Source organism: Homo sapiens, chromosome 15 (assembly GCF_000001405.40).
Source record: "Homo sapiens chromosome 15, GRCh38.p14 Primary Assembly".
Taxonomy (NCBI): Eukaryota; Metazoa; Chordata; class Mammalia; order Primates; family Hominidae; genus Homo; species Homo sapiens.
The window spans coordinates 99,297,886-99,311,307 of NC_000015.10; the positions used below are offsets into that span (position 1 = coordinate 99,297,886).

At 36.8% G+C, this 13,422-nt stretch overlaps 1 protein-coding gene across 24 annotated transcripts in view, besides 1 other annotated feature; it reads left to right on the forward strand.

The window, feature by feature from the left end:
• LRRC28 (leucine rich repeat containing 28) overlaps positions 1–13,422 on the forward strand; it is a 139,249-nt gene that overhangs the window by 46,405 nt on the left and 79,422 nt on the right. The gene's annotated exons all lie outside the window — the stretch shown is intronic.
• Positions 525–725: a silencer, noted in NCBI's record as "peak2447 fragment used in MPRA reporter construct". NCBI's record gives its function as "represses an SCP1 promoter by STARR-seq MPRAs in K562 erythroleukemia cells {active_cell/tissue: K562}" and the evidence as "EXISTENCE:reporter gene assay evidence [ECO:0000049][PMID:32103011]".

Here is a 13,422-nt window from a genome sequence, read left to right on the forward strand (position 1 = left end):
TTGAAATTATTCTAAAAGAAAAAAGGTTTTGTTTTCTGAACGATGTGTCCTTCTCAGTGACAAATACATACAGAAAAATACTCCTTTTTAGGAAAAGTGTAAAGGGAAATGGTAGAAAACTTGCCAGATATCTAAAAAACAAAAGTTCATTGCTACAATACTTTTAAAAAAAAAAAGGCAAAAGAAGAAAAGTTGGTTGCTTAGACTTGGAAAGCCTCTGCCATCAATCATGCTTACTGCACGTTGAGCTCCTTTCCAGGGTGCGTTCCTTTGTGAAAAGATTTAAAAGCAACTAACACTATAACCCAAGTGATCCAAATTCACTTCACATGCAGTACTTCTTATAGAATTAATTTATGACAGCATGGTGTATTATAGGCTTGGTGCTGTATGGGAACAGTGATGACAGCACTGAGGTCGGTTAAGGAGGGCTTAAGGAGAAGGCAGATGTGATTTGTGGGGACTAAGCTGATGTGAGAGCAGTATGCAGGAGCAAATGATTTGGTTTGGGTATTTTCCACTATTTATCTCTGAAAGGTATCTGTCTCATAATCCATCATACACACTACTTCCAGGATGCTCTCTCTCAAATACAGATTTGACCCACTATTACCCCAGTTTAAAACCCTTCATTTAAATAAATTGCTGAAAATGTTGTGGTTGCATGATAGAAGCCTATAATGAGTTCATAACCATTTGTTTATGATGAATACCAGGAATGGGGACATTTTTAAAAACCTGATAAATATAGAAGTGTTTTTAATCTTTTCAAGTGAATTTTCTTGAGAATATGTGTTTTCTTAGACACAACCTATTAATAAGACTTCAGAGGTCTAATTGTGAGATGGAGTCTCGCTCTGTTGCGCAGGCTGGAGTGCAGTGGTGCAATTTTGGCTCACTGCAACCTTCTCCTCCTGGGTTGAAGCGATTCTCCTGCCTCAGCCTCCCAAGCAGCTGGGATTACAGACATGTGCCACCACACCCAGCTAATTTTTGTGTTTTTAGTAGAGATGGTGTTTCACCATGTTAGCCAGGCTGGTCTCCAACTCCTGACCTCAGGCAATCTGCCTGCCTCTGCCTCCCAAAGTGCTGGGATTACAGGTGTGAGCCATTTCGCCTGGCTTTGTTATTTTTGTATCTAAATCAGCTTGCAATATTTTAGATGTGGCATGGAGTAATTTCTACCATACCGTTTGCTATCTTGGCAAAATGTGGTTTAATAGTTCGTTTTTACTGAAGAACTTTCAATTATTAAAATATATGAATAGTGATTTGATGTATTGCATTTGTTAACCAAACTTTGGCAAAGTATGTTTTTGATAAATACGTTAACAAAGATAGCATTTTCATCTGTAATTATTTTATAGTTTCAGCTAATTTTTCTACCTTGATTTCAATATATTTAAATGATTCAGTTGATTTTTCTACCTTGATTTCAATATATTGTTTTGTGACATGATCAGAAAATTATTTTATGTAAATTGTGAAGAAAAAGTAATAAAGACAATATATCTACATGTATTATGTAGATTGATATAATATAGATTTCATATATAGGTACACATAATATAGATACCAAAATAAGTGTTTCTTAAAAATTAATGTATTTAATATACAGAATGTTTTATTTGTCATTTATTTGAACATGCTGTTGCTTTACTTCATCTGTGAATTGTGTTTCAACTTGTTAAAGGTTTCAATTTAAATCAGATTTCTGTTCTGCAAGTAATTTTAGAGTTAACGCTTGTTTTAATGAGTGAAAAGCTTTATGATTTGCCAAGGGTCAATGTAATGAGAAGTAATTTTTACAATGTTGTTTGATATTGTTTGTTATGAACCCCCCCACTCAATGTGCATAATAGTTCTTTGTTTAATCCTTTTTATTAAAGCTTTTATTAAAAATTGACATTTTAAGCAGATACCTTTTTTTGAGAAGTTTTGGTTTTCACTGTGTATTTTTTGTAGGTAGTAGGAAAACATTAAGTCAAAACTGGCTGTGAAAGTGAGGAAGCACTCAAAAAATGAGTATCTTTATATGCTTATAACAAATATCACTAGTTGTTTATATGTCTGATCTACTTCTTAGCTGGATCTGCTGACATCTCTGCTCCTGACGTAATCTGAAAGAGAATTAAAGCCCGGCAGAGCTGTTTGATGACTTTTTTAAATTTCAGAAGTTTGGCATTCTTCACTTTAGTATGAATTTACAAGACTAATATTAGTGACTTAGTGTTTTTTTTTCTTAATAACAGCAGGTTTTGTGGAAGTCATGTTATTTTCTTATATATTTAGGTTGTAGCATGAATCCATTTTTCTTAAATGAGATAGTTTTTACTGTAATTTCATAGTCATTATAAGATGTTGAAATAATTAAAAAGTATTCTGAGAAAAAAATGCTGAAAGATATATATGGATGTTTATAGTAATGTAAAGTCTTAGAATTTTTATCTATTTTTACCTAGTTTTAAAATATAAATGCATATTTTTCTGAAGGAAAGTACAAGTCTCATATATAAAATTAAAATTTTAATTATTAAAATATTCAATTGAGTAATCAAATAATACTTATAATTTTTTTGTTTACAGGCTATGAAAATAGTGTTTAATCTAAAGCAGAACAAATGTACATTGGAAAATATTTTTAAAGGTATGCACAATTGGCCGGGCACCATGGCTCATGCCTGTAATCCCAGCACTTTGGGAGGCCGATGTGGGTGGATCACTTGAGGTCAGGAGTTTGAGACCAGCCTGGCCAACATGGTGAACCCTGCTTCTACTAAAAATACAAAAATTAGCTGGATGTGATGGTGTGCACCTGTAATCCCAGCCCCTCAGGAAGCTGAGGCATGAGAATCGCTTGAACCCAAGAGGCGGAGGCTGCAGTGAGCCAAGATTGTGCCACTGCACTCCAGCCTGGGTGACAGAGTGAGACCCTGTCTAAGAAAATAAAATAAAATAAAAAGTGTGCACAGTTATGCACATTGTTGCATATATGTCCTGAACCAAAATTATGATTTCTGTGGTGCTATTCTTCTTTTACTTGATATCTCTAGGAGACTGAATACTACATGTTCAAAAATGTGAGATAATTTTTCTGTACAGCTCTGTGTACATAATCAGTGAAGGAAGAATCACCATTACTGTTTTATATACACAGGGTGTTGTCTTGCAGTATTTTTATCCATCAGAGGAGCTGCTCTTGTTCAGAGATAAATTTCTGTAACTCATTCTCTTTAAGTGAGAAGATCCAATAGCATAGTTGAATATGTATTTTACAAAGACCAAATCCCTAAATTATTTAGCAATCTAAGAGTCAAATATTTGTATTGTTTTTAAGTGCATGTTATATTAAATATAGACTATAGAATACTATTTTTTAAAGGGAAATGAACATTTTAACCTTTTTCTTTTGAGACTCTTAATAAAATCAGCTTCATAAATCAGAGTTACTAATAATTTTATCTATTCTGTACTTCTTAATTTTTTCCTAAATTACCAACCACCATATCTATTTTATTTGAATATTCTTGGTTTGCTTATGATATCCTGTGAAATTGCATTTGAACTTTATAGATAAAACTATTTAAGTCTCCCACAACGGAATTCCATGGAACTTTAAGTACTATAAACTTTCAATAAGGCAAAAGCCTATAAAATTATTGTTACTTGATCCCTCTGTGTCTCCATTTTCTTATCCAATGTGGTAGGTAAATTTTAACATGGTGGATTCTGATATTCATTCTACCATTAAAACTCAACATTTTTAAATTTATACTAGCTCTAGCAGGTTTGATTTTATGGAGGACTTAAAATGATGCCTTTGAAAATTTGCTTCTGCTGCTAAAAGAGGTGACATAATAGGGTGTGAGAGTTTACATATTACCAGTGTTTGTTTCCTATCCGTAGTTTAAATTTCTAACTACTTCTAAATCAGAAACATATGTAAAATTATGATATATAATGGTATGACAAGAAAGAGAACCTGTATTTCCTTATCCCCAGGGCATTATCTATACTGATTTACAATGTGTGTTCCATACATCACTTTTTTTTTTCTACATACCACTCTTAAATGTCATCTAAATAATATCTTCTTAAACTTTATAACAATGTCAATAATTTTGTTCTTGGCGTGAGTTAATAATTTTTTTTTTTTTTTGAGACGGAGTCTTGCTCTGTTGCCCAGGCTGGAGTGCAGAGGCGCGATCTCAGCTCACTGCAAGCTCCACCTCCCGGGTTCACACCATTCTCCTGCCTCAGCCTCCTGAGTAGCTGGGACCACAGGTGCCCGCCACCATGCCTGGCTAATTTTTTTGTATTTTTAGTAGAGATGGGGTTTCATCGTGTTAGCCAGGATGGTCTCGATCTCCTGACCTCATGATCTGCCCGCCTCGGCCTCCCAAAGTGCTGGGATTACAGGCTTGAGCCACCGCACCTGGCCAAGTTAATAATTTTTTAAGCTATTGATTTTCTTTGTGTGGGTGTGTGTTTTTGTTTTTGTTTTTGTTTTTTTTGAGATGGGCAATAAGTTTCACTCTTGTTGCCCAGGCTGGAGTGCAATGGCGCAATCTTGGCTCACTGCAACCTCTGCCTCCCCGGTTCAAGCAATTCTCCTGCCTCAGCTTCCCAAGTAGCTGGGATTACAGGCATGTGCCACCAAGCTATTGATTTTTTAACAGCTTTATTGAAGTGCAATTTATATGCCATAAAATTCATCATTTTACATGTACAGTTAATTAACTTTATTCAATGTCCACAGTTTAGGAACCCTCAATACAATCTAGTTTTAGAAGACTTCCGTCATTGCAAAAAGTTCCCTGGTGCCTGTTTATTGCTAGCCTTTGTTCTCACCCGCAGTCAACCACTGATCTTGCTTTTTGTCTCTATAGTTTTGACTTTCCAGAAATTTCATGTAAATGTACATAACCTCATGTTTTAGTAGTTTAAATGTATATAACCTCATCTTTTATTGCTTAGTAATGTTTTATTGTATGGATGTGCCATATTTGGTTTATTCATCAGTTGTTTATTTAGGCTGTCTCCAGTTTGGGCTGTTAGGAATAATGTTGCTATGAACATTTGTGTACAGGCTTTTTGTAGGCATATGTTTTCTTTTCTCTTGGATAAATACCTAAGAGTAGAATTGCTGGATGTATTTTTAACTTTGAAAGAAACTGCCAAACTGTTTTCCAAAGTGGCTGTACCATTTTACATTCCCACTAGCAGTGTATGAGGGTTCCAGTTCCTCAACCTTGCCAGCATTTGGTATCTTCAGTCTTTTTTATGGTAGCTATTCTAGTTGCTGTATAGTGGCATCTCATTGTGTGTTAAATTTGCATTTCACTAATAACTAAAGATTAAGCACCTTTTCATGTGTCTATTTGCCATCTCTTTGGCAAATATTAACTATGCCTATCTTTTGGCCATTTTTAAATTGAGTTGTTTATTTTCTTATTATTGTATTGTAAGAGTTCTTTATGTATACTGGTGTTAATGGATAATTTTCATAAAAAAGCTAAGATCGTGATGCCCATACAGATATAAAAAATTTAAAATGTGGCAAAGCTTTTATTTAACTTATTAATGAGTAAATTGATAAGGTGTTATAACAAGTTCAAGGAGAATCCCTAGAACACACACATTCATAGATCAAGAATATAAAAACGGCCTGGGCACGGTGGCTCATGCCTACAATCCTAGCACTTTGGGAGGCCGAGGTGGGAGGATCACTTGAGGTCAGGAGTTTGAGATCAGCCTGGCCAACATGGTGAAACTCCGTCTCTACTAAAAATACAAAAATTAGCTGGGCGTGGTGGTGCATGCCTGTAATCCCAGCTACTCAGGAGGCTGAGGCAGGAGAATCGCATGAATCCGGGAGGTGGAGGTTGCAGTGAGATGAGATCTCGCTATTGCACTCCAGCCTGGGGGACAAGAGTAAAACTCCATTGCAAAAAAAAAAAGAATATAAATGAATATTCAAATGGAGGCAAAGCTAGTTTTCTCAACAAAGACAGAGCATTGTCCCCCCCACTGGATGTAATTTATGTATGTGTTTATAAACAAGAATTGTTTACATTGTTATCAGTTATCTGTAGTTTACAGAATTGTAAAATTGCTGTCAGAGACTCAGTATCAGATAACCTGTACGGATATACTAGGGACCGAGGTTAGAAAACTCTGACCTGTGGGCCAAGTCTAGCACTTCATCTGATTTAGTAAATAAAGTTTTTTTGGAATACAGCCATGTCCATTCGTTTACATATTGTCTCTGGCTGCTTTTATGCTGCAGTGGCAGAGTTGAGTAGTTGTGACAATGACCATATGGTTTGCAAAAACGATTTACATAAATAGCCCTTTACAGCAAGGTTGTCAACTTTTGTCAACCCCTGTGATTATCTGGATACAAGTCATTTATCAGATATATGATTTGCAAATATTTTTTCTCAGTCTGCGGTTTGTGTATTTTTTTAATTGGGGTGTCTTTTGAAGAGCAAAACTTATTTTTCCTTTTTCCGGCACTCCATTCATTTATATATATTCCTTTTCTTTTTTCTTTTTTTTTCAAGACAGGGTCTTACTCTGTCACCCAGGCTGGGGTGCAGTGATGTGATCTCCGCTCACTGCAACCTCTGCCTCCTGGGTTAAAGTGATTCTTGTGCCTCAGTCTCCTGAGTAGCTGGGATTACAGGTGTGCACCAACACGCCCGGCTCATTTATTTATTTATTTATTTTTGTATTTTTAGTAGAGACGGGGTTTCACCGTGTTGGCCAGGCTGGTCTTGAACTCCTGACCTCAAGTGACCCACCTGCCTGTGCCTCTCAAAGTGCTGGGATTACAGGCATGAGCCACCGTGCCCAGCCTTATATATATTTCTTTATGTGTGTATAGGTAGCAATGTTAACAAGAATGAGGGTCTGAAAGACTATTTATTAAAGTGATCTATGGGGATCACGACCCTATTCAGTATAATTTTTAATCATTTGATCTATTTCTTGCTTTTATTTTTATTTATGTAAAAATACAGCTTTAGCCTTGCTTCTCTCATTTTGTTGGGCCTCCACAACAATGTGCCTCTTTTCAACAATATAGGGAGATACTTGAGACTGTGTGGCCCACCCCAATCTTGTGGACCTGCTCGCGTGCATCACTGATGGCCAGATCTTAGCGGTAGGAGTTGAGCCAAAGAAGTGAAAGGCTCTGGGTTTTGGCACACGTCAGATCAGCTAGGTGCCTTTTGCTGTGCTCTAGAGATCATATAAATACGTATATATAAAAGGAGACTAGATGAAGGCATGCCAACAGCCAGGATGGTTATTGGAAGAGTTCATCTCTCAGGATTTTTTATAAATGTGAATGAATTTTCTGTCTTGCTAAATGGTAGTAAATATTGTGAACAGCTTTTTAATATAGTCATGGTTGACAAGTCTTTCAGGGCTTTTACAGCGCTGAAACTTGGTTTAATTTTTCTGTAATTTCTAAACTCTGATATTTAAATACATAAATTATCTGTGTAAAGATGTAGATTTTCTAGCACATATTCATTTAATTTTTTATTTTACAGAACTAAAGTAAAATGAATGCTACTTTGAAATTAATTAAGAAAATGTTTATGATGTTTGAATTTAACAAAATGTTTATAAGAAAAAAGTATTTCTGATATCGCTAAAACTAAAATTCTAACACTTTCAGGATTCAAGCTTTAGCTTTCCATAAAATATCAGGGCTTGTTTATTTAAAGAATGTTAATTAATAGCTACTATCTTTTTTTAAAAGCTCTATGATGTGCAAATTTGGGGTCAGTAAAATTTGGAAAGAGGAATATTATGTATTTTTCCTTCTATATTTTTCTATCATTTATAAATTAATTTGAAAATAAAAACAGTGGCTTTGTTTTCTTGAAATCCTTCTTTGTGTTTCTCCACTCAAATCTCCTTGAATGTTCAAACTGAGCTCTACATAAAGTATGTTAGTATATATTTGTAAGAATTGTGATGCATAACTTCGCATTTCTCCTTCATCACTTAGAAAAAGAGGGCAGTATTTTAGTACCAGTCATTGAGAAATTAAGCCTTGAGTGGTAGTAGTTCATTTATTTTTAACAACATGATTAAGGCTATTCAGAAGAATACTTTTGTTAAACATTTGGATTTTTCCCTTTTGTCTTCATTTAATTATTTCTTAGTATTGCACAATATTAGGCTACATTGCCTTGGTATCTCTAATTAAAAATTAAATATCTTATAATGATATAGCTTTTAGGGAGACTTGCAGGCTAATGATGCCGAGGCATTTCTCTTTGCTGTTGTCCCAGACATTGCCCACTCGGTTTCCTAATTTAGTAACAGAAATAAAACTGTGCACGACTGGGCAGGTTTGGTATGCCGGCACCCTGCCAGGAAGCATGGGTTTCTTAAGCAAATGGACCGATGGGGATTTGAGGAAAACACAGATTATGTTACATGAGCTTTGCACTTTGCAAATCCCTAACTATTTAAAGGAACTCGGCTAACCCGCTGATACCTAAATAAAGTCAGTTTTGTTTAAACATACATACACACAAAATGATATATTGTTTCCTTTTCCAAAATTAAAAATTACCCTTCATATTTGTGTTTTTAATTTCACATTTTTTGTCAACGTTTAAAAGCTCTCTCTTGGTTAAGTAATGTATGAAAATTATTGTTAATTTTGTTAAATTCTTTTATGTATTTGTAATACCCTTCCATATAGCATAATAAAAGGAGTTGATAATGTACATATGCATTGTGCTTCTGTGTGAGGAAATGAAAGAAAGTTCTGGCAGGTTTTAAAAGAAGCCTAGTTTTATACCTTGGCTCTGGCACCAGCTTGGCTGAGTGACCTTGGTGCCTATTGTCTGTCCTGCACTGTGAGTGTCATGAGTGTTCTGTGTCACGCTAACACTTCAGGTTGGTCTGCAGCAGTTTCTTTGCTGAGTGTTTGAGCACGGGCTGCTTTCCTATCCACTGACATGTTTCCTTCTTGCTGGTGCGTCTTGTCTGGCACATCTTTGGTCCTTTTCGGGTCCATTGCCTCTGAGTTTGGAGAAGAGCCTTCAGCCCTGAGGATTAGCCTGCTGCTTTTCTCCTTCAAGCCATTACGTGTTTCTTCAGCGTCTGCCATTCATTGTCAGAATGGGGCCAGCTGTTCACTCTGGTGATCTTTGTTTAATTGCCATTAGACTGTATGTAAACACTGGGGGCAGGTAATTCTGAAGCATGTTTTCATTGAGAGAGAGAGTTTATCTCATCTTTTACTAGACTTTTGGCAGATAGAAATGAAGAATTCTAATACTTGGGACACTGTGGGTTGGGTAGGGAGAACGATACAGGGTGCAGGGTCCACATCATGCTTAAGGCAGCACTGGCTACAGTGCAGAACAAAGTGGATTTAATATAAACTGAAGTTGTCAAATCCCACGGACTTGAGGACCAGTAAGATTTCCCATCCCATAAATGCCATCCAAAAGTGTGAAAGAAAGAATACTAAACATCAAAAATTCTTAACTGAAGTGGTCAGAACATTACTAATCTTTGAAAATAGTTTTTAGAAAGATCTATTCCTCTCCTTTTGAATATCTGAATAAGGCAGATAGATGCCCAGTCCTAGCATCAGAGACCAAAGATTCTAATCCCGTTCATTCATTTTTTAAAATGTAAAAGTTGTTACATATAGAAAAGTTCTCAGACCAAAAGTATGTACTCAATAAATTTACCTTCTTCCTCATCTCATTTTTCTGCCTTCCCAGTTTATTTCTATCCTCTTAGAGTCCACACTCCATGAAGACTGGCTCATTGTTCCTCTGCCATTAGCCTTGCCTTTGTTTTCCTGACTTCCAACACTCATCTCAGTTTTAAAGCGAAACTAAAGATCCTGCAATTGAAAATCTTGTTAAGGTGCAATATGTTATACTTGTTAACAGTAAAGACTTAATTTTGTGTGACCTTGGTCACTGTGGATTCCATTCTGGATGTGAGGGGAAGTCACTGGTGGATTTTGAGCAGACGAGTCCTATGATCTCATTTAGGTTTAAAAGAATGACTCAGATAACTGTAAAGAGGGGCCAGTGATGAAAACTTAAACGAGGCGCCGACAACAAAAACTGAGACGAGTTAGGAATCTGCCAAAATAACCCCAGCAAGAAATGATGATGGCTTGCACTAGAGTGTTAGCAGAACTGTTGGTGAGAAGCAGTTGGATTTTAGTTTATTTAGTGCTTTATAATTTTCACAGTGTCTCACTCACTTTCTTTTACCAACAGGGCAGGTTTTATCCCTGGTTATAAATAAGAATTCTCGAGGCTCTGAGAGATTATGAATCTTACACAACGTGACTTAGTAAGGTAGAATCGAGACAATGCTAGGTCTTCTGATTCTCAGTAGTGTTTTTTCCAAGTCGTTAACATAAATACTTAATCTTTAAAAAAAAAGTCTGTTTCAAATATTTTATATGATTGAAGAAAGTAAAATCATGTACTAGTGACAGATCATGGTGGCTCACACCTATAATCCCAGCACTTTGGGAGGCCGAGGTAGGAGGATCGCTTAAGCTAGGAGTTCAAGACCAGTCTGGGCAACATAGTAAGACCTTGTCTCTACAAAAGATAAAAATAAAAAACTTAGTTAGGCGTGGTGGCACGTGCCTGTAGTCCCAACTGCTTCGGAGGCTGAGGTGGGGGGATTGCTTGACTCTAGAATATTTGAGGTTGCAGTGACCTATGAACGCTCCACTGCACTTCAGCCTGGGCAATAGAGTGGGACCCTGTCTCCAAAAAATAAATAAATGAATAAATAATCATGTACTAGCTTATAATACTATATTATTTATCTCTGCATAACAAATTACCACAAAGTTAGTGGCATAAAACAACACACATTTATTATCTCAATTTCTATGGATCAGCAGTCTAAGCACAGCTTAGCTCGATCTGCTTAGGGTCTCAGAAGGCTGCAGTCAAGGTTGGGTTGGCCAGGGCTGCAGTCTCATCTGAGGCTCAACTGCAGACGAATAAAGGAATTCTTGATTGTTTTTGCTATCTAAGAGAAAGAATTAATTCTACTAAGGAATAGTGCCCTTGTCTTTTTTTCTGTATTATCACTCCCTTCTCACCTCAGCTTTAGATATATAAACTTAGCAGTTGGAGTATAAATGCTTGTTTATTCCATTCTATAAGAATCTTGGAATGCAGACTTTGTGTTTGTGGGTGTTACCCTTATTTTGCTGCCATGAGTAAATATACTAATTAGGCTTGTTAGTGGTTATTTTCCATTTAGTTTCCTAATTCTGCTTTAGCTGTTAGTCCACTGTCAGGGTGATATTTTGCAGGTTCTTTGGCTGATGAATTAAGAAAATTTGTGGAACCAACCCCTGGGTTCAAAAAACAGAGTGACCCTCAACTGTGATCTGACTTTCCACTCCTGAAGCCTTTCTGAATTCTACCCCAGTTTAGTTGATTGTTATGAACTAGTCTTTATTTGTGTGTGGCATATAACTGAGGGAAGATGTCTTTTTTTTCTTTTTTTGAGATGGAGTCTCGCTCTGTCGCCAAGGCTGGAGTGCAGTGGCACAATCTTGGCTCACTGCAACCTCTGCCTCCTGGGTTCAAGCAATTCTCCTGCCTCAGCCTCCTGAGTAGCTGGGATTACAGGCACGCGCCACCACGCCTGGCTAATTTTTGTATTTTTAGTAGAGACGCGGTTTCATCATGTTGGCCAGGCTGGTCTTGAACTCCTGACTTCGTGATCTGCCTGCCTTGGCCTCCCAAAGTGCTGGGATTACAGGTGTGAACCACCACGCCCACTGGGAAGATGTCTTTTAAAAGCTTTTGGGTGCTCTCTTCCACAATTTCTTATCTTAGGACTTCTGCTTATAGAATTGCAAGACTAGATAATTCAGACCAACCCTCCCTTGAGGACAGTGCAGGGTGGGGAGTCTGGGAAAATCTGTTTTGAAGGCATTGGTGAGCTAATAAGGTGGTGAAGAATTCCAGGCCAAAGAGATTAAAGCCTTTAAAAACCATTTCCCACTAAAATGAACCAGGTTGCTGTGTTTGAGGCACAACTTGTAGAAGATGCACCCTCGGGACATCTTGTGCCAGAAAACAGAATCAGTCAGAGACTTCTGAGGGTCATGTGAAAATCGTACAGAAGTCAAAAGTGAACTGTTAAGCATAAAAAGCTATGACTGAAATGTATTAAAACATATCAGATATAGAAACATGTATGAGTTTGTAATGGTGCTCTTAAAAACTTGTTGGTAAACTCTGGAGGTTGTTATACTACCAACTTGTTCTTCAAAATTTAAAGGGAAAGAATCATTTTTCTGCCTTTTTCTAAAACAACTATTTTTCAGGGTAACTGAATAGTTGAAGGTGGGAGAGTTTTTCTACATGGAATAATTATAGTTAATACATATAGAAGGAATGATGGAATTTTAAAAACCAACATTTGTAATTTCTAATGAAATATCTTGGCAAAATCATTAATAGCTTCCTGAACCATTAGGTAAAAAGTTGATAGGAAGCTTTGTATTGAATGGATCAGGCTGATAACACTAGAATCTACTAGTTAATCTTAACTTCACTAGAAGTGAGACAAGCAGACATTATGTTCTACTACCCAGTGTGATGAAATTGGAAGGGTGTAACCCTCTCCTTATAATGTAATCATGCCAAAGAAAAGTGAACAGGGATAAGTGAGTATTTTTGATGACACAAAGAAGGCACAATAAACCAAATCGAGGGTGTTGAAAATTCTGTAAGACAAAAATCCGTGTAAGTAAGCGAAAGACATGAAAATGAAGAAAGGAGAGGGAGAACTGTTATAAATTAAGAGATTTAAGAATCATATCCTTCCATTTCTTCAAGTCATACATGGTGGCCTGCCAACACTATACTCTTCTGTAAGGTGTTTCACGCAATACGGCTGTCCACTTTCTCCAACAGTTTGATTTTCTGTGCTGTAGATAAACACAAATGCTTCCTATTTTTCTTATCACTGTTACCCACAGAGGTATTTGCAGGCCTTTTTGACATTTTCAGCAATATATTTACACCACAAAGCAGAGAATAAACAAAAAACCACAGTGAGTAATGCACGTAGGTCTTGGCCCTGTGTGGGTCATGGTGGGGAACCTGCCGTTGGTGTCCTTAGTCTGCACACATGCCATTTCACTACCCTTTTTGGTTTGCTTGCGTGGAGCTATCTGGGCATGCACAGAAAAGATATATTTCAGCTAAAGGGGACTGGGAGGGTCTTTTCTGTCTTGGGGACATGGAATAAACTATGTGTTGTGTACTTGCATTTTGACTGCAACCTGGCACGTGAGGTCAGGTGTATAATTTTCCACTTGTGGCATCATGTTGGCACTCAGAAATCTTTGGATTTTAGAGCATTTCAGATTTC